This window comes from Homo sapiens, chromosome 10, assembly GCF_000001405.40.
Source record: "Homo sapiens chromosome 10, GRCh38.p14 Primary Assembly".
Taxonomy (NCBI): Eukaryota; Metazoa; Chordata; class Mammalia; order Primates; family Hominidae; genus Homo; species Homo sapiens.
The window spans coordinates 13,455,517-13,479,374 of NC_000010.11; the positions used below are offsets into that span (position 1 = coordinate 13,455,517).

At 43.5% G+C, this 23,858-nt stretch overlaps 1 protein-coding gene across 48 annotated transcripts in view, besides 1 other annotated feature; it reads right to left on the reverse strand.

Annotated features, from left to right (window-relative positions):
* BEND7 (BEN domain containing 7) overlaps positions 1 to 23,858 on the reverse strand; it is a 91,154-nt gene that overhangs the window by 17,036 nt on the left and 50,260 nt on the right. Inside the window, exon 7 of one of the 48 annotated variants that reach the window (XR_930472.2) lies at positions 14,591 to 19,400. The exons of 46 other annotated variants lie outside the window; for them this stretch is intronic. The gene's annotated coding sequence lies outside the window, so the exon portion shown is untranslated. Of the gene's footprint in view, positions 1 to 14,590; positions 19,401 to 23,858 lie in introns of those variants that run through there. One more of the 48 variants, XM_011519412.2, reaches the window with a different exon arrangement.
* Positions 18,563 to 19,762: an enhancer, noted in NCBI's record as "BRD4-independent group 4 enhancer chr10:13516079-13517278 (GRCh37/hg19 assembly coordinates)". NCBI's record gives its function as "activates an origin of replication core promoter dependent on BRD2, P300/CBP, MED14 and CDK7 cofactors, and independent of BRD4, by STARR-seq in HCT116 cells {active_cell/tissue: HCT116}" and the evidence as "EXISTENCE:reporter gene assay evidence [ECO:0000049][PMID:35650434]".

Genomic DNA, 23,858 nt, shown 5'->3' on the forward strand with positions numbered 1-23,858 from the left:
GGGGTGGAAGAAGAGGGGAGACAGGAGGGCTGAGGGACAGGGACTTGGGTGTGACGTGCAGGCTGAGGGAGCAGTGGTGTGGCAGGAGAGAACAGGATACAGGGAGAAGGAGGAGACGGTCAAAGGCATCACCCTGGGGGGGTTGGGGCTGATGAATCTGGAATAGAAATGGAGGGGCTGCCTCCAACAGAAGGAGGGAAATGTCCTCTTCTGAACCCACGGAAAGGGAAGATGGTCGATTCAGAAGTGGTTCTAGGCTGGAGCAAACACTCCTGAGGCCTCAGTGAGCTCAGGGGTGAGGGGCTCTGGAGGATGGAGGGTGTAGGGGAGGTGTGGAATCATCTCTGAGAAGAATTGGAGAGGAAGCAGACCACAGACAACTAATACGGCTGCCACGCCACAGACAGGCTACGTGGTAGGGCTATGCAGCGTGGCGGGAGTCTACAGGCTTTCCACCTCCGTCTCCTGCAGCTCCTTTAGGACACGGGATGGTAGGGCTGGTCTAGGCTCAGGGTTTTGCTGGACAGTTTTGGCAGAAGAACAGGGATATAAGCCCGTGAAGATGCTGAAGGTGTGACCGGGCATGAATGAACTCACCTCTCTACTCCTCCCCTATCCTTCACCCCCCAAATCTAGGAAGGACGTGAATACAGAAAAAGGCTCATGGGCTTGGAGCTATCTATAGAGATCAGGGAGTGCAGGTGTCAATGGGTTGGCAGGCAGGGGTCATGCAGCTGGAAGAATTGTTCTGAGATACCGGAGCATGCAGGAGCAGCTGAGGAGCAACCGCGTGTGAGGATGCTCAGGTGTGGCCAACAGTGTGGGGCTGAAATGCAGCAGAAGTGAATGTCACCATGGATGAGGTCCATCCACTACATAGGCTAGGCCGTCTGTCATGTGGACAGAGAAGTGATCCGGATGACAGTGGGACTGGGGAGCGAGAGGAAGACGTAGGGCTGAGAGTCTTAGTGGAAAGGTTCCATCAAAGCCCCACCTGGGGAGAGGGGCAGTGATGCTTAGAAAGGAGAATTAATGACTGGGGAGAAAATCAACCAGGTTGCCCAATGTATGATATGGGCGGGGGCCGGGAGAGCAAGGTGGGGAGGTGCAGAGGACAGCCTATCCCTGGGGCTGCGCATGCTTTGAAATCTCTGCCACTAGATTCTAAGCAACTTCAGGGTCTTCATCTCTTTTGTCTCCCTCAAAGCACCTACTATAGTGCATTTTTCTGAAGAACTCAAGCATTTGATAAATAAGCAAACATATTTTCCACTTTTGTTTCTAATGGAAGGAAATACATTAGCTTACAAATTTAGGCTAATTGGGGGAAAATGGTCTATCTGAATTAGCAGGAAGTCTTTAATTAATAGGATCTATTTAAAGAAGCAAGGTCTTATTGCCTTCAAATACCCACAAGAACATTTACTGATCAGATAATTTCCAAAAGGTTCTTGAAGTCCTGTTTTAATAAATAGAACAAAATATTTCTATTTAGCATCCTATTCGTTTATAGAAAAATGTGTACTACAAAAATGACTGAATCCACTGTTATAGCAGGTACACATCTCCCCCCTTGTAATATTATTTATACAGTTAATTTCCATAGCAACCCCTCTTTTCTTGGGTTGTGAAATGCATGTGTCCAAATTAGCACACATTAGAAAGTCATGGCTCCAAATTAACAAAGTGGATTTGGACTATGCCACATTGAACGATTCCCACGTGTGCGGACAAGCCAGTTTAAGATAAGCCAAAGGAGGCTGTGGACTCTCTGCTCCCATGTCATGAGGGGGTTCAGATCAGACCTTTCTAGTCCAACCTTGAGCTCAAATATTCTCTCAGTCACTAAAAGGGCAGCCGTGTCTGGTTATTTTTTTCTAGTTTCAATGAAAACTTATTTGGTTTCAATAGAAAGAAGCCAAGAAAATCACTGTCTCCTGGGTCTGTGTCTAAGATCTTTGAAGGGGCAGCAATAGGCTTTTTGAAAAACACCTATACAAATAAGTACTTCCACTGGGCACATTATTGACACCCTAGTTCATGGATTACATCTAAACTTAAAAGAGACTTTTAACTAGAATTTACTTACTGAAGACGAAATCCTATTCCCTCCATTATGATAGCAGATGAGGCCTCAAGGACAAGGCCAAAAGACTGTCATTGCATTGATCTGCAAACAGTCAATATGCTATGTGAATAGAGGTATTGGGGAGACAGAATGCATTTTTGCTACCTGAATCTATAGCTAAAGGTCAAGCTATTATCCTGGTAACAGTTCCATTAGGAGTAATGATGTGAAAAGAGGTATTGCATTAATGCACTGAGTTTTCTACTATGTTAATAGTGGGTCATTAAGAATCATAGTCGAATCATTTGCATTCATCTTGAGAATGCAATAGGTTCTAAAAAGAAATCTCCCTCCTTTCCTATTTTAATATATGAAGAAGCAGCAAGGGCTACTTTTAAACGAGCCCAGATAATCTGAAAAAAGTGAAATAAGATCAACAATTAAACTAAATAAAAGAGCTAAAGCATCTCTTCTGCTTAGTATAATTTGAGTTCCAAGGCACAGGGCGTATGTTAAGTCACCAGAGAAATGACAAATGCTCAATCTGATCCGTCCATGAATAATGACTTTTCCCAGATGCTAGCATTCATTTGAATCCTGCCCTTTAATTGTATATAAATAATGAATCAGCTGCTGGTGGCTGGGCAAACCCTTCCTTCAGAATGCTGCTCCTCATGTAATCATCATCAAGTGAAGGCGGCAGCGCGTGGCGTGTCTGACATGCTGAACGCGCCACTCTGCAAACAAGGCGGACTGGCCATGTTCCCCAAACAGTGATCTAGCCACACTGTCGTTCTCCTGAGGGACTTTTAATTTGGGTTTTTCTGGCTGGCTGTGCTGGGAAAAGAAGAATGTGGCATGGACTTTGAAAGGAAGTCACTGTGTCTAGCAGACACTTTAAGAAGCAGGGGTAGGTGGGAAGAGCTTTCACATCGCTGTGAAATCCTCTAAGAACTCTGGCTGGCAGTCACAGCCCAGCTTCAGAGTTGATGATTCAGTTTTAACTTGTGATCAAATCAAGGTTTACATCATGCATGGAAATCAAGGTTTACAGCACGCAGAACTGAAAACTGGGTCCTCATTAGATCTGCCAAACTCCTAGAGCTTGCAAAGGGACAAGGGACAATAGTCTCTGCTGCCAGGTCCCAGGGGACAAGCAGAGGGACCCAACTGGGGAGCACTTGCAGCCAGGGATGTGCAGAGGGAGAGGGAGTCATGGCAGGCAGCCCGCCCACACATCTGAGTGAGCGGACCACAACCAGGGTCCCTCCCACTCTCTTTCCTCTTACTGTCTTAGAGCTATCATTTGAGACTCCCCATGTGCGAGGCAGTTTATACACATCTCATTTAATCTCGCAACAACCAGCAGGGTTAGGTATTGTGATCCTCAGTTACTGATGACAAAATCCAAGTATGGGCAGCTTAAATGACTGGCCTGAGACTGCACATCTAACAGGAGTTATTTTCCACATAAATGACTTACGTTTACAGTTGCATTTGAGCACGCAGTGACGGTACAAGAAAAATGGTTGAATGGTAAACAAACAAAGCCATAGCTAAGTGCATCCTCCCATGTTGAACTTGAGGATGCTGGGTGTTACTTTCAACCTCACAAAATAGAAGCATGGTGGCCAACTGGGGAGAGGAACAGGGCAGGGGCTGGCAGATTACCTGTCCCCAGGAGGCCAGGTGAGTGTGCGGCAGGGGAGCTGTGCCTGGAAACTGGGCCGTGGGTAGGATGGATTTACACATACTTTGAACTCTGAGATCTGATGACTGTGGCTCAAATTTTACCTAGATCTAATAGAGTATATCTTTTCTCCAATAATACTTAGTGCGTCATTCTCCATTTTCAAGGAGAAAGTGGAAACATATAAATTGTAGGCTTGATATCCATCTATTGTATTAAAATAACCATACCTGTGGCATGTAAAACACTACGAGAGGGTGGGAAAGAGCTAGAATCAAGGCTGGTTGTTCAGGCAGGGCCTGATGGTCCTCCACATCTTGGTGCAATTGTTCTAGTCTTGGAATGGGTTCTCAGCATGCAGGCTCAGAAATCTGATTTTAGCAGACCACTCAGAAAAAATTCAGACCTAAACCCAACCCTACACACAATACTTGGTTGATACATCAACTAGAATGACAACTAAGTAATATGCAATGCAGAGGTGAAGGATTCTCTTTCTGTATCTGGAACATTTGATGTCATGACCCAGTACTTTACTTGTTGGGGTCAAGGGGCTAGAAATGGGGGACCAACCAAACAGAAGGTTGACTGTGAACGTGGAGAAAGATCAGGATGTTCACAGGAAACTGCCCACTTCTCGCCCCTGCTGCCCAAATGGGCAGGACTGCTTTGTCCCAGTGCCCTCTAAGCCACAGCTTGGCTGCAAGATGATGCACCCTTGACCTAAGGGGAGCCAAGCCGCAGATGTGTCGAGTGATGAGCCGGGCCCTCTCCTGTCCTCCTGAGAATGGCAGGAGATGAAGAAACAAGGGGTTTAGCAAGAGCCAGCGATGCTAAAATGTCACAATGCGAGTAGCATGATGCACCTACTGTGTGCAAACAGAACTGTGAGGAGCCAGCAAACAAAAGGAGGAAGTCAGCCGGCAGGGAGGAGAGGATGAAGCAGATGCGCAAAGAGAGGCAGGGACCAGAGACACAGAGACAAGGCTCATGGAGAGGGATGCAGAGTCCAGGCCTTACAGCAGCCCTGTTCCTGCCCAATTCCACCTGCACCCCACGAGACATCTTTTTCCTAAGGGAACTGAGTGACATTCCACTCTAGAAACCAAAGAGCCTTCTAGAAGAGAGCATTTTAAACAGGTTGGAGTAAAGCCTTGCTCTCTCTCTCTTTTAAAGATGGGGGTCTCACTATGTTGCCCAGGCTGGCCTTGGACTCCTGGCCTCAAGCAATCCTTCTGCCTCAGCCTCCTGAGTAGCTGGGATGCCCAGCAAGCCTGACTCTTCACGCGTCCTCAATGGCATATGACCCCCGTGTTTGGATGCCCCTCAGCCTCAGCACACTGAGTGGGCACCACTGGCCTTTGTGCACCCACAAATCTTAGAGGCACATCACGGGACACACAGTCACAAGTGATCTCTTGAGATGTGATCTATTTCAGCATATGGTTTTTCTCACGTTTTTGTTGATTCTTATTAAGTGCAACTATGGTGAAGATGATGTTCTCTGACACTGTACACAAACTGGGGGGAGGGTTACAAATCTGGGACTTAAACCTCATTGTGACCTTATTACAAAAATAAAATGCATTAATTCAAGACATATTTATCCACCACACATAATGTGCCAGGACTATGCTAGGTGTTACTGAACAAATGGTCCCTTGTCCCCAAAAATCCTGCAGTGAAATGGAGGATAAAGGCAGTAAGAAGTCAAGGACAGCCCAGAGCAAACCTGCAATTACACACGCCGAGCACCAGGTACACAGCCAAGGGGCACCTCACCCATTATTGGGTGGGAGTGGGTAGCGGGGAAAGCTTTCAGATAAAGTGATGGCTGAGCTGAAACCAAAGAAAAAAGTGGAGGTGAGCTGAAGAAAGGAGAAAGAAGGTGGAGAATGCTCCAGTCACAAGGAAGGGCATGTGCATTCCAAAGGCACAGCCTGCGACTGTCCTGAGGCAGGTGAGGGAAAGGCAGTCTCACATGAAGCTCAGGTTTCTACACCCACAGGGCAAGGGCAAGGAGGTCTTGGGCCTATGTGATGGGAGAGCTGGAACGAAAGCCTCTGGTGAGGCTGCAAAGGGCAAGGGTCTACCCCCGAGTACAGGGAGGCAACGAGCAAGCTCTGTCCAGACTTTGAGGGAGAAAAAGAAAGGTTCCTTAGAAAATTCTAAAGGCAGCCAGGCACAGTGGCTCACACCTGTAATCCCAGCACTTTGGGAGGCCGCGGCGGGCAGATCACTTTCAGTCAGGAGTTTGAGACCATCCTGGCCAACATGGCCAAACTCCGTCTCTACCAAAAATACAAAAATTAGCTGGGCGTGGTGGTGCACACCTGTAATCTCAGCTACTTGGGAGGCTGAGGCAGGAAAATCGCTTGAACCTGGGAGGCAGAGGTTGCAGTGAGCCAAGATGGTGCCACTGTACTCCAGCCTGGGAGACAGAGCGAGACTCCATCTTAAAAAAAAAAAAATGAAATGCTTGGCCTGCACCTCACAGAGGTTTGGGATCTGAGGTTGCACCATTGCATAAAACTATAAGTGAGCAGAAGCATTGCTGTTGAGACTCCTGGGCTCCAGAGAGAGGGAAATGCAGAATGAGTTTGAAAGGATGCCTTGAAACCTGGGCCACAACAGATTCTCACAGAAAAAAGAAAAGAAAAGAAAAACAGGCCTGCTAGAGATGAGCTCATATTTAAAATAATGAAACACATACAATGACCCAGCAAATACCAGAGGCAGTGGACTCAGGAGCTGCAGGGTGAGACACCCCTTGTGGATGGCAATGGACAGCAAAGTAAGTGTGCTTAAAATGAGCAAGGAAAAATTCAATGCACCAGGAAAATAACAGGCTGATTTCAAAAAGAACCAAATAGAACTTACAGAAATTAAACATATAGTATCTTGTATTAGTCTGTTCTCATGCTGCTAATAAAGACATACCCGAGACTGGGTAATTTATAAAGGAAAGAGGTTTAATGGACTCACAGTTTAACATGGCTGGGGAGGCCTCACAATCACCGTGGAAGGCAAAGGAAGAGCAAAGGCACATTTTACATGGTGGCAAGCAAGAGAGCTTGTGCAGGGGAACTTCCATTTATAAAACCATCAGATCTTGTGAGACTTATTCACTACCACAAGAACAGTATGGGGGAACCACCCCCATGATTCAGTTATTTCCACCTGGCCTGCCCTTGATATGTGGGGATTATTATAATTCAAGGTGAGATTTGGGTGGAGACACAGCCAAACCATATCACAACTGAAACATAAAAACTCAAAGGACAGGTTAATCAATAAATTAATATCACTGAGTGGAACAGGGAGATAGATCTGGAGAATAACCCAGAGTGTAACATAGACATGAGAGATGGAAATAGAACAGATAAGGGATACAAAGGACAGAATAAAAGGGTCCAGTAAACACTAATAGATGTTTCAGAGGGAGAGAATTCAAAGAATGAAGGAGAGGAAAGAGAGAGTAGATGAAAAGTCTTCACAACTGGTGAGTCATGGATCCTTGGTTCTAAGAAGCACAACAATCAAGTATATTAAGAAAAATAAATACATAACTGTAATAAAGAAACCAAAGAACACCAAAGGCCAAAAGATCCTACAATCAACTAGAGCAAAAAGACAGATGATCTACAGAAGAACAACAGGTTGATCAGACTCCACAACAACTGAATCTAGAGAACACTGGAATATCTTCAAATCATGATGAAAAACCATCCTTGATCTACAACAAATCACCCAACTAAACTCCACATCATTCCTTTGTTCCGAGGAAAATTTCGGAACAAAGACTCGAAGACCCTCAATCAAAGAATTACTAAACACTGTGCTTAATCCATTTATGCTGGAGATTGCAAATGTTTTTGTGAAAAATCAGACCTTGGTGATGACCATGAACAGCAGAATATAAAATAACTCCCACAAGCTTAGCATTCCAATAATGGAACACTAGGCAGAAATGGTTCAGCCCATTTATGGGTTAGAAGAACCCATTTCTTCTTCCCATTTATGGGAAGAAGAAAACAACACAGAGGCAAAGAACTGGAGAGGAGAAAGGGGAGGAGGAGTGCAGAGGGCATGACCTATAAGATCTTAAGAATTATTACAATGCCAGAGTAATGAAAATGATGGCTCAAAGACGAAGGTAGATAAAAGACCAAATGTAAACATGTGTGAGAGGAGCTCAGACTATGGCAGAGATAGAATTATGAATCAGTCAAAAATGGATGCTGTTAAAATGACTGATCATCCACAGTGAAAAACAATTGAATTAAATCTCTACCTCACATTTAGGTAAAAGTAAATTCCAGATGGATTAAAGACCTGATTATAAAAAATAAAACTTTGTTGGAAAAAAAAATAAAAGGATATAATTATATCATCTGAGTAGGGAGGATCTTTTAAAATGGGCACAAAAAGGCAAAAAGCATGAAGAGAATCCATCTGCCTGTCAAATCTCAACTTCGGTAAGATAAAAGACATTGTAGGCAACGTCTTCACAACTGGAAAATAAGGGGTGATACTTGAAATGCATGTCATTGACAAAAAAACTCCAGTAAGTCAGTAAGAGAAGAACCATCTAGTGGAAAAACAGGAAAAGGATGGAAATTCACAGAGGAAAAATAACTAAATAATGACAAATAGGAAAGGATGCAGAACTTCATTAGTGATCAGAGATTCTACCACTGAGCCTCACTTGAGAACCATCAGACTGGTGAAAATTAAAATCTGGTAACAAGAGATCTTGGCAAGAATGCGGGAAAGTGGGATTTCTTCTACCTTGCTGGCAGATGCATCAATTAATCAGTTTTGAGAGCCACTTGATAATGCCCAGCGAAGCTGAAGACGCTGTTCCTTGTTACTCGGCCGTTCCATTGCCTGGTGTGTTCTCTAGAGAAACCCACACATGGGCACCCAGAAACACAGAGATGACAGCTGCCTTGGGTGACAGGGAAAGAGAAAAGCCAGCCTCACTGTCTCTTACGAGAAGCCTGGAGGAAGAAAAGGCTTTGTCATGCAGTGGTTAGCAGATGAAATGGCTAAGCTAGGGTTAGAATGTGCTGAGATGGACAAATCTTTAAAAAGATGAAAAAGGACATGTGAAACACAGGCAAGTTGCAAAAGTACCGTGTGATGCTGTGGCCACAGATCTGTAAGCAGGACACAAAACAATAATGAATAGGATTGACGGGAACACAAGTGGCAAAGTAAGAATGAATGGGAAAGATACACACCAACTCCATTACTCTGGGGCGGGGAAGAGAGAGAATGGAAGGGAGAGGGAACATCTTGATTCTTAGAGAGGGGATATGAAGTAAATTATTAATAATAGCTGTTTTAAATCTTAGGGGAAGGCAGAGAAAACAAATTCTTGGCAAATGTCTTTACCACATTCAAGATGAAGAGGAACACTATTATTTCAACGTTTTAACCTAAAGACTACTGTTAATGGGGACAAATGTCGTTCTTCAGTCTGTGAACAAATCAGAAAATTTCTCCTAGGGCTATGCCACAGAAATGTCAACGCTGACTAGATTTCAATTATACTCCTTACACACACACTCTTTTGGGATAAGCACCAAAAGCTATCTTTAAAAGGGAGCTGGGAGAAGACTCAGTAATTTGCCTTCGGGGAATAACAGAGAAGACAGCAGTGCATCTCATCCTTCAGGTCTCAACTGAGACGTGACCTTCCCCGATAAGGCCTACCTGAGTTCGTTAACCAGTGATTTTTTAAAATAACAATGTCCAGTGTTCATCAAGACTGCAAGCTCAAAGCAAGGGCAGAGATCACGTCTTCCATTCACTGCTGGCACATAATAGGCAGGTATGAATGTATGGTTCATGAAAGAGTAAATCTGAGAAAGTTTTTTCTCTCGTCTGTTACTTAACTTGAAGGAACTGTAAGAAGCACTTCTTCAGTAAATAGCCAGAGGTCTCATACTGAGCCCTGAAGTTCATTTCAGATTCGGTTTGACAATCAGAATTTAGCACAGTTCATCAACTAATGCACCTAAAAATGATGCCTTTAAATTAAGGAAATAAAGTATTGCAGACAAGGTATTTACTGATGAAATGAGAATATCCTACTGAGTTATAGACATGAGACTTTAGCAGGAGCCGGCATGCGGGGCAGTCAGTCGTACAAGACACAAAAGTCAAGGATTGCAAAAGCTGGCCGTGAGGACCATCTCATCTTCGTGCTGACTGCTACTCTATGGGGCTGTTATTTTCAGCTGGCTGATGTAATGAAAAGGGCCCTAGATATCCATAAAACTGATTCCAAGCCATATTTATCTGGTTCTTTAGGTTTACTTCTGAGAATTTGGAATATAACCTCTGAACCACAGAATCTCTGACCTGGAGGCTTTTATTATTATTATTTTAACTGGAGACTTTAAAAGTTAGTCAAGCCACACTTTTTTTTTTCCTAGAGAAAGTGATGGTTCAAGAGCTTGAATGACAGTCAGGAGTGAATCTACGTCCCACAGTGCTCCCTTTGTTATCCCCACACTGGTGGGACTCTGAGGCTTGAAGAGTCTTGTTGAATCCCAGTGATTCTCACCGATTTGAGGCCACAGCTATCTCTCTCTCTCTCGTGTGTGTGTGTGTGTGTGGTGGCAGGGGTGGGGGGACAGACAACAATATTCTTTGTCTTCCTTCAGTTTTGCTACTATGACATTTCTGTCTAAAAGGAAGTGCCAAAAAGTGCTGATAGTGGTTTCTCAAATTAAACAAGGTTAATTTTAATTTCTATCAATTTAAGGAAGCACCCATTTATAATACAACTGTTGGGAAACAAGAAGAACTTTCCTTTGGTGAGCTGTGCCATGCCTTTGTTTAACACAGTTGGTATATTTCAATGGTTACGTCGTATTTACTAAGTATTAAGATCTGGGTAATAACAAGCTTTAGTGTAATGATGTTTGACCGTTGAATCCATTTTTTTTTTTTTTTAGCAAAGAAAAATGTTTCAAAATTATGGATTTAATAGGCCGGGCGCAGTGGTTCATGCCTGTAATCCCAGCACTTTAGGAGGCTGAGGTGGGCGGATCACCTGGTTAGGAGTTTGAGACCAGCCTGGCCAACATGCCGAAACCCTGTCTCTATTAGAAATTCAAAATTAGCTGGGCGTGGTGGCGCACACCTGTAATCCCAGCTACTAGGGAGGCTGAGACATGAGAATTGCTTGAGCCTGGAAGGCAGAGGTTGCAGTGAGCCAAGATCACACCACTGCAGTCCAGTCTGGGTCACAGGGTGAGAAACTGTCTCAAAAAAAAAAAAATTATGGATTTATAGAAATTCTACTTGGAAGGTGCATTATGTTTCGTATAACTCATTTATTTATTTTATAGAATCGAATGCTGAGGCTCAAGCAACACAAAATTTAAAAGATTGGGAATCACCAGCTCAGAGGCCTTAGGCAAGTGGCATAAAACACATGCGTTCCCTCCACATGTTACTGGGCTTGACTGTTCTTTAGATAAATGAATGAGGAAAAAGTCATGCGTTTTTCTCTTTCTAAAGCGAGGGTTTTTCAGTATATGAATTTTCAAAGTCATTCCATGAGGCGCTGAGTTTACCCCCTCGCCAGGAGGTCTGGAATGAACGCCTCCAGTGCCAGGGTAAATTATAACATAGGCAGGAGGCTCAGGTCAGACCGCAACCCAGAGGTGACAGAGGCTGGGAGAAGGAAGGGTGAAGGGCTGGGAAGGCGGGTGCGGGGCAGGGGTCTCACTCATCAGTGGAGATTTATGCACTGTCCCACCGTGGACACCGGGGGAAGATGCTGGGGCGTCAGGACAGGGCCCATGCCTCAGAGGTAGGATTCAATTTCCTGTTCTTTTTTACACAGTGGCAACTCCCTTCTCATTGGGATCAGCTGTAGGAAAATTTGGGGTTCACATTCTGAGGCTGACAGGAGTTCTCAGACTTTTATCTGATCCTCACTCTTTCAGGCACCAAGTTGCTAGGACAAAGGCTAAAATATACCTGGAGGGGAAGTATACGGATGTGTCAAGAAGTCTTCAGGTAGGAAAACTAGGAAACGGCACATTTAGCCTAACTATGGATTCCGTTATTAGGTTTATTTAAACCAAAATCCCACAATAAAATGATTACACTTCAACTTTTGAGGATGATTCCTCTCTAGTATGAAAGAAAGCATGACATACTACACTTTCCATGTGGCATACCGTGGAGGTTTCTCTTTGATATTTAACAATGATCAATGCTTTCACAGCCCCATTAAATACAAACTTGGCTTTTTTATTTTAGATTACCTTAATGTTTTTGATCGACAAGATTACACTACCCTTAATTCCTATATGCCATTTGATCTGTCTGTGGCTGCTGTTCCTTCTAATCTTCAAATTTATATTCTGCCTCCTTGAATTTCAGCTGCCCTTTTCCAACTTGTCATGGAGAAGTTGTGTAGTTATCTTGTTATTCATGCCCTGTACGTATCCAATGTGGGAGTGCTGTTTTGATTTTTAAGAAACCTGTGGGAGTGCTGTTTTGATTTTTAAGAAACCACCTTTTTCAGAGAAGATAAACTGACTGATTTCTTCCTTCCCTCTTTCCTTCCTTCCTGTATTTATGGATCATTAGTTATGTGAGTGGTGCTGTTTCATGGGACAAGGAATATACAAAGCAAACATAAAACGTGATCTCTGCCCACAGGAGCTTATAGTCTTGTTGTGAAGACAAGACACCCTAATATAAACAGCATGACCATGTATCCCGATCTGCCCGGGAAGTTCAAGTATAAAGCGCCTGTTTTCCCAATGAGATAATTAACAGCACCATACTGACCCTCAGGAGTGTCCCAGTGTGCGCAGTAAATGACATGCTCATCCTCCATAGAAGTCATCAATAGCAAGGCGGAGAGTTAAGATGCCCTGCTAAGCAGTCTAAAGGCAGTAAGTGGTACTGGCACTCAGAGAAAGGGGCAATCAGTACAGGTTAGGGCATCTGAAAAAGTCTCATGGTACAGGGGATGAGACTTGGGGTAAACCAGGAAGAACAAGTCAGGCTTGTCTATAAAGAGCGGGGAGAGAAGGGCACCACGGCCCTGTGGAGAACAGCATAACACAGAGTCCACAATGAACGAGTGGTGCTTGAGGAACAGTGTTGCTGGCTCACCCGGGAGGAAGCACCGGGAAATATGTTCACAAGGAGAGAGAAATTCAAGTTACGGAGTCTTGGAAAAGGCCAGAGTTCGGACTGAATAGGCCAAGGGGAAGTAAGTAGGAAAACGATGTCACGAGATTTGGTTTTCTGGGTGTTACTAGGCTGTTAGGATACATTAGGAACTGGAAGGAGAAAGGAGGGTTAGGCAGGACATTTCAAGAGTGTTTTTGCAGAATTTCAAGGACAGAGTGATGCACAGCTGGACCAGGATGGTGTCAAAGAAGCCAAAGGGCACTGAATGAGAGAGGAGGGACAAAAGGAGTTGATAGGGCCAGGTAATTGAGCAGGGTGAGTTGCAAAGAAAAAAAGGCATTCAAGGTGTTTCTGAGCTTTCAAACTTGAAGAGTTAGTTGATGCCTCTGCTAAAAATAATGTAGTTGCAAGGGGGTATCAGGGTTAGGTGGCCCATGCCACCGCCAAGATGACTGCTGTGTGGGTAAGCAGGGCTACCGCTGACTCTTCAGAAAGAGGCCAGCACAGGCCCCATGCCCTGCAGGAGACCTGAATATCCTATATATACATCTTGGTCTCCACTGTCCTGCCTTCATTTCTAATTGGGATTTGCCCCCAGGTAGTTGTACCTGGCTAAGTGGATTCAAAATGGTATCTGCAGTGATCAAGAGGTGTTGAGAGGAAGGTGCTTAAAATAACGAAGATTGGATTTACTCTGTCATCCAAGGGGTAGGGCTGATAGGAGGATGCTAGGGTCGAGTATAAAAGGGTTTCTGAGAAATACTATGAGCTGACCATGGAGAGGTGTCAAAATCTAACCAAGAGCAGGATGCAAGAAACATGACTTGGAAACACGGTCCATACAGCAGAAGACTTGACTGCAGGGAGCAGTCAGTGGGAAGACCTGATTAATTCCAAAAAGGAACGCCTCTCTCATGCTAAGGGTTTTTTACAGATAGGTACAGCCGTGCTTTGCTCTTATACAAAAATGTCTGACAGGCAGCCAAAATCGATTACAGCTTTCCGTTAATTTTAAATGAAGGTTATGGAATTATTATTATTTTTGAGATGGATTCTTGCTCTGTCACCAGGCTGGACTGCAGTGGCGTGATCTCGGCTCACTGCAACCTCCACCTCCCGGGTTCAAGTGATTCCCCTGCCTCAGCCTCCTGAGCAGCTGGGACCACAGGCACATGCCACCACGCCCAGCTAATTTTTCTATTTGTAGTAGAGACGGAGTTTCACCATGTTGGCCAGGATGGTCTCAATCTCTCGACCTCATGATCTGCCCACCTCAACCTCCCAAAGTGCTGGGATTACAGGCATGAGCCACCGTGCCCAGCCGAAAGTTATGAATTTTTAAGGGGTTTTCTTATTGGAAGCTTGCATACACTTTTAGTTTTTTTGTGAGTATTCCATGATCATTTGCAATGCACTTTCAGGGCAGAAATACTAGCAAATACCAATTCCTGAGTCGTTCAGATTTTTGATGCATACCTTGCAGGAGATAGTCAATACGTGTTATGGAACTGAATTGGAACACTTGCTAGATAACTGGCATCAAAATTGTAGATCCAGAAGAAAAGCTACCAGGAATGCAATCTGACTGACTCTGAACTTATTAAACAATTCTGCTTCCCCACAAAAGGAGAGAAAATAGGAGGATGTGGCATTACCTTAGGATGCTGGTGAGCATCTCTGATGAGCCACACAATTCAGGGAGTTAAATAAAGAAGAGATGGACCACGCAGAAAACACTGCTTTCTATTTTCAGGGCCACAGCTGGCACATATGGAGCCATTGTTCAGATTAGAAAGGTGTCTTTCCTCAAGACACTGTACTTTAGGCTGCAGGGAAACTGTCACAATAAATATACAAATCGACAGTGTCCACAACGGCAACAGTGCCCACAATGGTGTGCAATGCACATTCTACTGTAGTGGCCCTGTTTATGCTCCAGAAACATATCTCTTTTGACAGGAGGCTGTTTTTGTCACCCCTAGTGGTGGTGTTAAAATGCAGGTTTTGTAAGAATTCAGTAACGGGGAGTTGGAGTGGAATCCTTGCAAGTGAATCCACAACTGGTTCCTGCCCATTATGTGACAGGCTGAAGAAAGATCAAAAAAAGCCACACCCTTCTTAACAAGTTTCTCCACATTTCCATTTGCTCCTTATGTAGTAAACATATGAATTCACAGTTTTGAGGAGATGAGATCCCTTTTTTGAGCTTATGGAAGGCCGGTGATGAAGCGGTGGTGAAGCGTAGACTCACTGTGGCCCCAACGGCAGGGATCCGAATTCATAAGGTGTGGGATGGGGCCGAGGTAGCTTTCAGAAGCAACTTTAAGCAGCACAGTTCTGGCTGAAAACGTTTGGAGGTAAACTATATCTGAGTCCATTTCACTGGCATTATATTCATGAAGTCAAATGTGTTAAGGTAAACAAGTTGCTGAGGACTTAAGGTCCACCAATGAGCATGAGCCTTAAGCAGTTCTGGAGGCAAAAGGCTTTCACCCAATGTTTTATTGAATTTAAGCTTCATTAAACATGTTCTGTAGTTAACCTTTTCCATTCTCTCGGCATTTGATATACTTCTCTTCATTCAAGGCCTAGTTCAGATGTCATCTATTCTGTGAGGTCTTCTCCTAGTGAGATTTACATCCTCTGTGCTTCCTCCTCCCCCTGCCAGGTAATAGACATTTGTCATTTATTTTATTCTGTCCTGGAGCATGGCTCTGTTAGGGGTCATCGCTGACATGTCTTACTAGACTGTACATTTCTGAACATCAGGGCCTTAGTCAGTCATTGGCTTGGGGTAATAAATATGTTGTTAGCAGAAATTTCATGCCTGCTGATGATTTCTAGGTTTATAATATCAACGAAAATACTGCAAAGATTCTGGTGTTCTCATGACTTAATCCAGTATCTGAAAAGCAGCAAAGATCATGTCTTCTGTTAACACACTGTTTGGGGAAATGTCAACTGAACAAGTGTTTCAAATATGCAATCAAGGGGACTTTAGCCAATGCCAAGAAGAGATTCTACATTTTCTTCAAGACTGTCATGACAAGGTTGTAAGGAAAATGAAATGGTATTTGTTTAGTGATCCGTAAGTGAGATCTGTGCTAGAGTCTGGAAATGCCTTCTTCCACCTTGGTGAAGTGGGCAGCTATTCTGTCTAGTCCTGGTGAGGCACTGTAGCCATGTCTGAAACCAGGACCCTTGTGTCACATAACACAAAAAAAGTTTTAAACCCCCAAGGTTCAAAGAATGAGGGCAGCTCAGACAAGGCTACCTTCCTTCTCACTGATTCCAGGACAGAGGTGGAGCCACCTTCAGAAAACCAGGTGCTTGACAGAAACAGCTGAAGGAGCCCAAGCTTCACAGGGGCTGTTGTGTGTACAGTTGATACCCACCATCCCCATCATCGCTATTAGAATTGGGGTCAATACCCATCATCACTGTTAGACTTGAGGCCGATACCCGTCATCACTGTTAGACTCGGGGTCGATATCATCATCACTGTTAGACTCGGGGTCAATACCCTTCATCACTGTTAGACTCGGGGTCGATACCCGTCACCACTGTTAGACTCGGGGTCGATACCCGTCATCACTGTTAGACTCGGGGTCGATACCCGTCATCACTGTTAGACTCGGGGTCGATACCCGTCATCACTGTTAGACTTGGGGTTGATACCCATCATCGCTCTTAGACTCGGGGTTGATACTCGTCATCGCTGTTACACTCAGGGCCGATACCTGTCATCACTCTTAGACTCAGGGCTGATATCCATCATCGCTATTAGAGTAGGGGCTGATATCCATCATCGTTGTTAGATTTGGGGTCAATACCCATCATCACTATTAGACTTGGGGTTGATACCCGTCATCTCTCTTAGACTCAGGGCCAACATCATCATTGCTGTTAGACTCAGGGCCAATACTCGTCATCACTGTTAGACTCAGGGCCGATATCTGTCATCACTGTTAAACTCGGGGCTGATATCTGTCATCGCTGTTAGATTTGGGGTCAATACCCGTCATTGCTGTTAGACTCGGGGCTGATATCGTCATCATTGTTAGACTTGGGGCTGGTACCCGTCATCGCTGTTGGACTTGGGGCCGATATCCGTCATCACTGTTAGATTTGGGGTTGATACCCGTCATCACTGTTAAGACTTGGGATTGATACCCGTCATCGCTCTTAGACTCGGGGTCGATACCCATCATCACTGTTAGACTCAGGGTCGATACCCATCATCGCTCTTAGACTCAGGGTTGATACTCATCGCTGTTACACTCAGGGCCAATATCTGTCATCACTGTTAGACTCAGGGTCAATATCCGTCATTGCTCTTAGACTCGGGGTTGATACTCGTCATCGCTGTTAGACTCGGGGTTGATACCCGTCATCACTGTTAGACTCGGGGTCGATACCCATCATCACTCTTAGACTCGGGGTTGATACTCATCATCACTGTTACACTCAGGGCCAATATCTGTCATCACTGTTAGACTCAGGGTCGATACCCGTCATTGCTCTTAGACTCGGGGTTGATACTCGTCATCGCTGTTACACTCAGGGCCGATATCTGTCATCACTGTTAGACTCAGGCTGATATCCATCATCGCTATTAAGAGTAGGGACTGATATCCATCATCGTTGTTAGATTTGGGGTCAATAACCATCATCACTATTAGACTTGGGGTTGATACCTGTCATCTCTCTTAGACTCAGGACCAATATCATCATCGCTGTTAGACTCGGGGCCAATACTCGTCATCACTGTTAGACTCAGGGCCGATATCTGTCATCGCTGTTAGACTCAGGGCCGATATCGTCATCGCTGTGAGACTTGGGGCTGGTATCCGTCATCGCTGTTAGACTCGGGGATGGTATCCGTCATCGCTGTTAGACTCAGGGCCGATATCGTCATCGCTGTGAGACTTGGGGCTGGTATCCATCATCGCTGTTGGACTCGGGGCCGACATCCGTCATCACTGTCAGATTTGGGGTCGATACCCATCATCACTGTTAGACTCGGGGTTGATATCTGTCATCGCTGTTAGACTTGGGGTTGATACTCATCATTGCTGTTACACTCAGGGCCAATACCTGTCATCACTGTTAGGGCCAATATTGTCATCGCTGTTAGACTCGGGGCCAATACCTGTCATCGCTGTTAGACTCAGGGCCGATTCGTCATCGCTGTGAGACTTGGGGCTGGTATCCATCATCGCTGTTGGACTCGGGGCCGACATCTGTCATCACTGTTAGATTTGGGGTCGATACCCATCATCACTATTAGACTCGGGGTTGATACCCATCATCGCTCTTAGACTTGGGGGTGATACTCATCATTGTTGTTACACTCAGGGCTGATATCCATCATCACTGTTAGACTCGGGGTTGATACCCATCATCGCTGTTAGACTTGGGGTTGATACTCGTCATTGCTGTTACACTCAGGGCCGATACCTGTGATCACTGTTAGACTCAGGGCCAATATTGTCATCGCTGTTAGACTCGGGGCCAATACTTGTCATCACAGTTAGACTCAGGGCTGATATCTGTCATTGCTGTTAAACTCGGGGCTGATATCCATTATCGCTCTTAGATTTGGGGTCGATACCCATCATCACTGTTAGACACAGGGCCGATACCTGTCATTGCTGTTAGACTCAGGGCCGATATCCATCATCGCTGTTAGACTTGTGGCCAACATCTGTCATCGCTGTTAGATTTCGGGTCAATATCCATCATCGCTGTTAGACTCGGGGCCGACATCCGTCATCGCTGTTAGACTCGGGGTCGACACCCATCATCGCCGTTGGACTCGGGGCTGATACCCGTCATCGCTGTTAGATGCGGGGTCGATATCCATCATCGCTGTTAAATTTGGGGTCGATATCCGTCATGACTGTTAGATTTGGGGTCGATATTCCTCATGACTGTTAGACTCGGGGCTGATATCTGTCATGACTGTTAGACTCGGGGCCGATATCTGTCATCACTGTTAGACTCGGGTCAATACCCGTCATCACTGTTACACTCGGGGCCGATACCCGTCACCGCTGTTGGACTCGGGTCGATACCCGTCACCGCTGTTGGACTCGGGTTGATACCCGTCACCGCTGTTGGACTCGGGTCGATACCCGTCACCGCTGTTGGACTCGGGTCGATACCCGTCATCGCTGTTGGACTCGGGTCGATACCCGTCATCGCTGTTGGACTCCGGTCGATATCCGTCATCAGTGTTGGGCTCAGGTCGATACCCGTCATCAGTGTTGGACTCGGGTCGATACCCATCATCGCTGTTAGACTTGGGTTGATACCCATCATCAGTGTTGGACTCGGGTTGATACCCATCATCGCTTTTGGACTCTGGTCGATACTCATCATTGCTGTTAAACTCAGGTTGATACCTGTTATTGCTGTTGGACTCAGGAGCTCTGACTGTAGGGCTGCTGCTCCAAGGGGCATCTGAAAGCAATCAGAATCTCCTGTGGTTGTGTGTTCAAAATGCAGATTTCCTAAACCTACTGAATCTATCTCTTAGCATGGGACCCAGAAGTCTGAATTTCGAACCAACACCCAGGAAATTCTGATGCACACTAAAATATGAGAACCATCGTGGAAGGGGCTGGAAGTAGAGAGCTACACACAGAGAACAGCCGAGATTCAACATGACCTCTTTGTCACTGGGCCTTCATAAAACAAGGGATAATACAAACTACAACAACAACAACTAGGTGAGAGTTACAAATACAGCCAAGAGGCAAGCTATATTTCTGATGTAATTATACTGATGTTATGTATTATGTAATTATATCCTGTTTTAAGCAGATCTGATATGTAAAAATATGAATAGGTAAATTAACAGGTGATTAGTCACCTTCCCAAAGGATTCTTTCAGCATTCATCACTTTGGTTCTGACTGCCAAACATTTAAACTAGAATTTGATTTACATACAACTTTGGAACACAAGCTATATCAAGTGTTTACTCCCAAACTCTTTCCTTGTGGTTCTATGTACTGAAGAGTCTCAGAAGTTATCTCTTTCTTGATGGAAGGGATCAAACTTCTTTTTTCCTCCCAAGCACAGTGGAGCTGATTCTCACTATCTTCAAGAAAAGACCTGCCCTGACACTAGTAAAAAAATTGATGTATAGCTATATTTTAAACAGAAAATCACTTTGAATATGCTTTGCATAAACAACCGACTGGTCATCTGAAATCATCTGTATTTCCTAGTGGAATTTATAAAGAATCCAAATGCTAGAGTTTAAGATAGAAATTAAAAACTGAAACATCTTTCTTTCTTTTCAAATACTCCTTTTAGAAAGACTGAAGTGTTTAGTGTGCTGCAAAATGGCTTTGGAGTCAGACAGGCCTTGGGTGAAGTCCTGATTCCACCATTTACTGGTGTTTAAATTAAATAGGGTTACTTAATTTCTCATAGCCTCAGTGTCCTCTCCTATAAACGGAAATAAAATAATCAACATTGGAGGGGTACTCAAAACCAAGCTAATGTTTCAACCTTGTTCTTATAAAAAGTTCTGAGAACGCAGATAAGTTACTATCAATAAATAAATCGATGCAAATTCCACCCCAACCGTATTAATTTAAATCTACGTGAGATCAAATAGAAAAGAGCTATTCACTTTTTTTTTATTAAATCCTAATGGAAATAGAGATACTATAAGATGACAAATATGGACCCTACAGGTATCTAGAGTCACAAGAATAAAACAAGAGGTTTTGGTGGTCATTTCTGCAGAGCCTGTGAAAGTGTGACAGCAAAAGCGGCCAGGCACCCATTCTAATCTTGTAAGAAGCGCAGTTATTTTTTTGGAGGGCTACCAAACAAGGAGTGTTCCCTCCCAGAGAAGTTCTGATACCTGTGGCTGTCCAGACAGACCATCAAGGCTGGCCTCTCAGGAGAGCGGCAGTTTGTGCTGTGTGGCATGAACTAAGAACCCCCAACAAGGTCTTCACTTGACGTGCCTATGTAATTTCCACTGAATGCAAGAAGATTCAAGACTCCAGGACAGTTTGATAGTAATAAAACTTTCTCAACTCATCACTATGAAGTCGAATTAAAAATCCTACAACGGGGGCTCTAAAAATCGCTTTATTGCAACTGTATTTTCTGAAGAGCATTCAGGGATTCAAAGATTCTATCATATTTAGACAACTCTAACCACGTTAATCTGCATGGTCTACCGAGTATATCACAGCAAGAACTAGATGTGGACCAATTCTAGCCTCAGCAGGTAAGGAAAACATACCTGGGTACTAACCTCCACTCTGGTTATAACATCAATTCTGAATCAAATCCAAGACACTAAGCTTTATCCCCAGCACTAAAGCCTAAGACTCTACTTGGTAAGATCATAAGTTGTTTCTTCTTAAATTCAAAATGCTTAGGTGAATGTTTCTAATTAAAAACTCTTTCATCAGCAATACCTTGAGTCATACTTATCAATATATTTTAAATAAATTATCATTAAGTGTTAGTCACCATAAGACAGATAAGATTATGTAAAAAATACAATCTCTACAAAAGAGGCTTATATTTTATTTTTAAGATACTGTCATGGGGAATATTAATTACCACTACAAAAAGCTTTGTTAATAATCCCCCAAACTTTTTTTCAGTCCATTTCTGTTCCTACTTATAAGCATTTTATAGATTTTCATTCATTTTTTTCCCATTGTTGTTTTAACCACTCTAATAATCACTTTTGTTTGAAACAAAATTGAACTCCTACTGTTATTTTCATTTCTGAGATTTTGTAAAATTAGCCAGTCTTCATATGTTCCTAGATAATAGGACTTTTCAAATTAATACACTATTGGGACATTATCCCACAAGAGATCAAGTAAGAAAGACTGTATATTTAATATTTACAAAATCGTTTCCAAGGGGTGGTAGACAGTAATAATAGCAAGGATAGCCTTGGCACTATTATGTATAAAGAAACCATTTTATCACTTTCTCATAGTACTCAGATTCAAAAGACTCAGGTTAGGGAAATTTCTTTTTTTAAAAAATCTCTACGAATAACAACAACAACAAAAAAGACCTTAAATTAATAGCTACTTCTGAAAATCGCTTCGTATTGTAACGTGTGGGTTAACCCACTTTTAACGAAGGAAAATACAGTAAAGAAAAATGTATTAGGAAGTTAAGAGAGCTATATTCAAATTTATATTCAATTTTGGTTTCTATGTTTTAGCTTTCATTGGCATTTTATTAACTGTTAAAAATTTACAACAATGTTTTAATGTCAGTCATTCCAGATGAGTTATTCAAGAAGATGTGAGGATGGATGTTTAGTATTAGACCCATTATGTCAATAAATTAACGTCAAAGTCAAGATGAAAAATAAAAACCTATGCCTCTTCACTCATCCCATGTGCATTTATGGAAATACTGGTCTGTGTGAAGCTTTCAACATGTGTGCAGGGTAGGGAAGACTTTCCTTCTACCCTCTGAGGGTTCAGTCAAGTCTATGAAATAAACTGACGGCAGATAAGTTAACAGGAGAGAAGTACACATTTTTAAGGTACACAGGGGCACCGCAGGAAAGAAAAGTGAGATCTAGAAGCATATATACCCTCTTTATAGGGGAGAGGGGAGGGAGGATGGAGCAGACAAATTAGGGGAGAGAAAATGGTTTTGGGGAATGATGAATGGGCCCTCAGAAGAACAGGTGACAGCCCGTGACAAAATCTCTCTGGGTGTGGTGTCACCTCCAGTGTCCTCTCCTGTGATCAGAGTTAATTCCCCCTGGTTCATGACACTTCCAGGGAGGGAGTTCACAACTGAGTTCCCTTTGGAGGATCAGTCTTTGGGCAGATAAGGGAGTTCAGAGAGAACCCCTCCCTGCATCTGCTGTTCCCCAAGTGCCCACAATTTGAAATAACCTGCATACCAAAGCAGCATTTCTTAAGGTAGCATCTCCTGAGCTCTTTCAAGAGCAACAGGTAATAAAAACATATTTAAGACAAAGTGTGTCCTTAAGCAACTTACAAGAAATTATCAGAATAAGTCAGGTAGAAATGTTGACTAGCCAGAATGAATGGAATTTTCTTATAAAACAGTCAAATCTGATACCACATTCACATTTGAATAAAAATGGTAAGAATGTATAATACCATAATCTTGGAAGGGTGAGATTAGGGTGGCCTTTTTGTTTTCAATACATTTTAAATCATTTGCATTTTAAAATAAATATTATTTTTGTAATCAGGAAAAAAATCAAAATCAAAATATATGTCTATGAATAAACACTGCAAATAAAAACACTGCAAATAGATAAATATAAACTATTTGTTGATTTATGTTGTTGGTGGCTTATGGGATTTCCATCTGTTTTAAAGTTACTGGGTCGTTATTACAGAATTTTAATAGATTTAATTCAATAATAAAAGTGTATGGGAATTTTAAGTTCTTCAATTGGAATAATCTACTTTATTATATATTGGGAGCAAAGACCTCATTTGCCATTTTTATAGAGTACAGCAGTGAAGGAAATGAAGATGTGTCCTCTATTTGTAATATACTTTTTTTTTTTTTTTTTTGAGACCAAGTCTGGCCCTGTTGCCCAGGCTGGAGTACAATGGTGCGATCTCAGCTTACTGCAGCCTCCGCCTCCCAGGTTCAAGTGATTCTCCTGCCTCAGCCTCCCAAGTAGCTGGGACTACAGGTGTGCATCATCATGCCCCGCTAATTTTTTTTAATTTTTAGTAGAGACGGGGTTTCACCATGTTGGCCAGGCTGGTCTTGAACTGCTGACCTGCAGTGTTCCACCCACCTCGGCCTCCCAAAGTGCAGGGATTACAGGTTTGAGCCACCGCGCCTGGCCTGTAATATACTTTTTCAAACTCTTGCATGTCTAGTGTAGATGGAAAATGGCAGAAGAAACCCACAT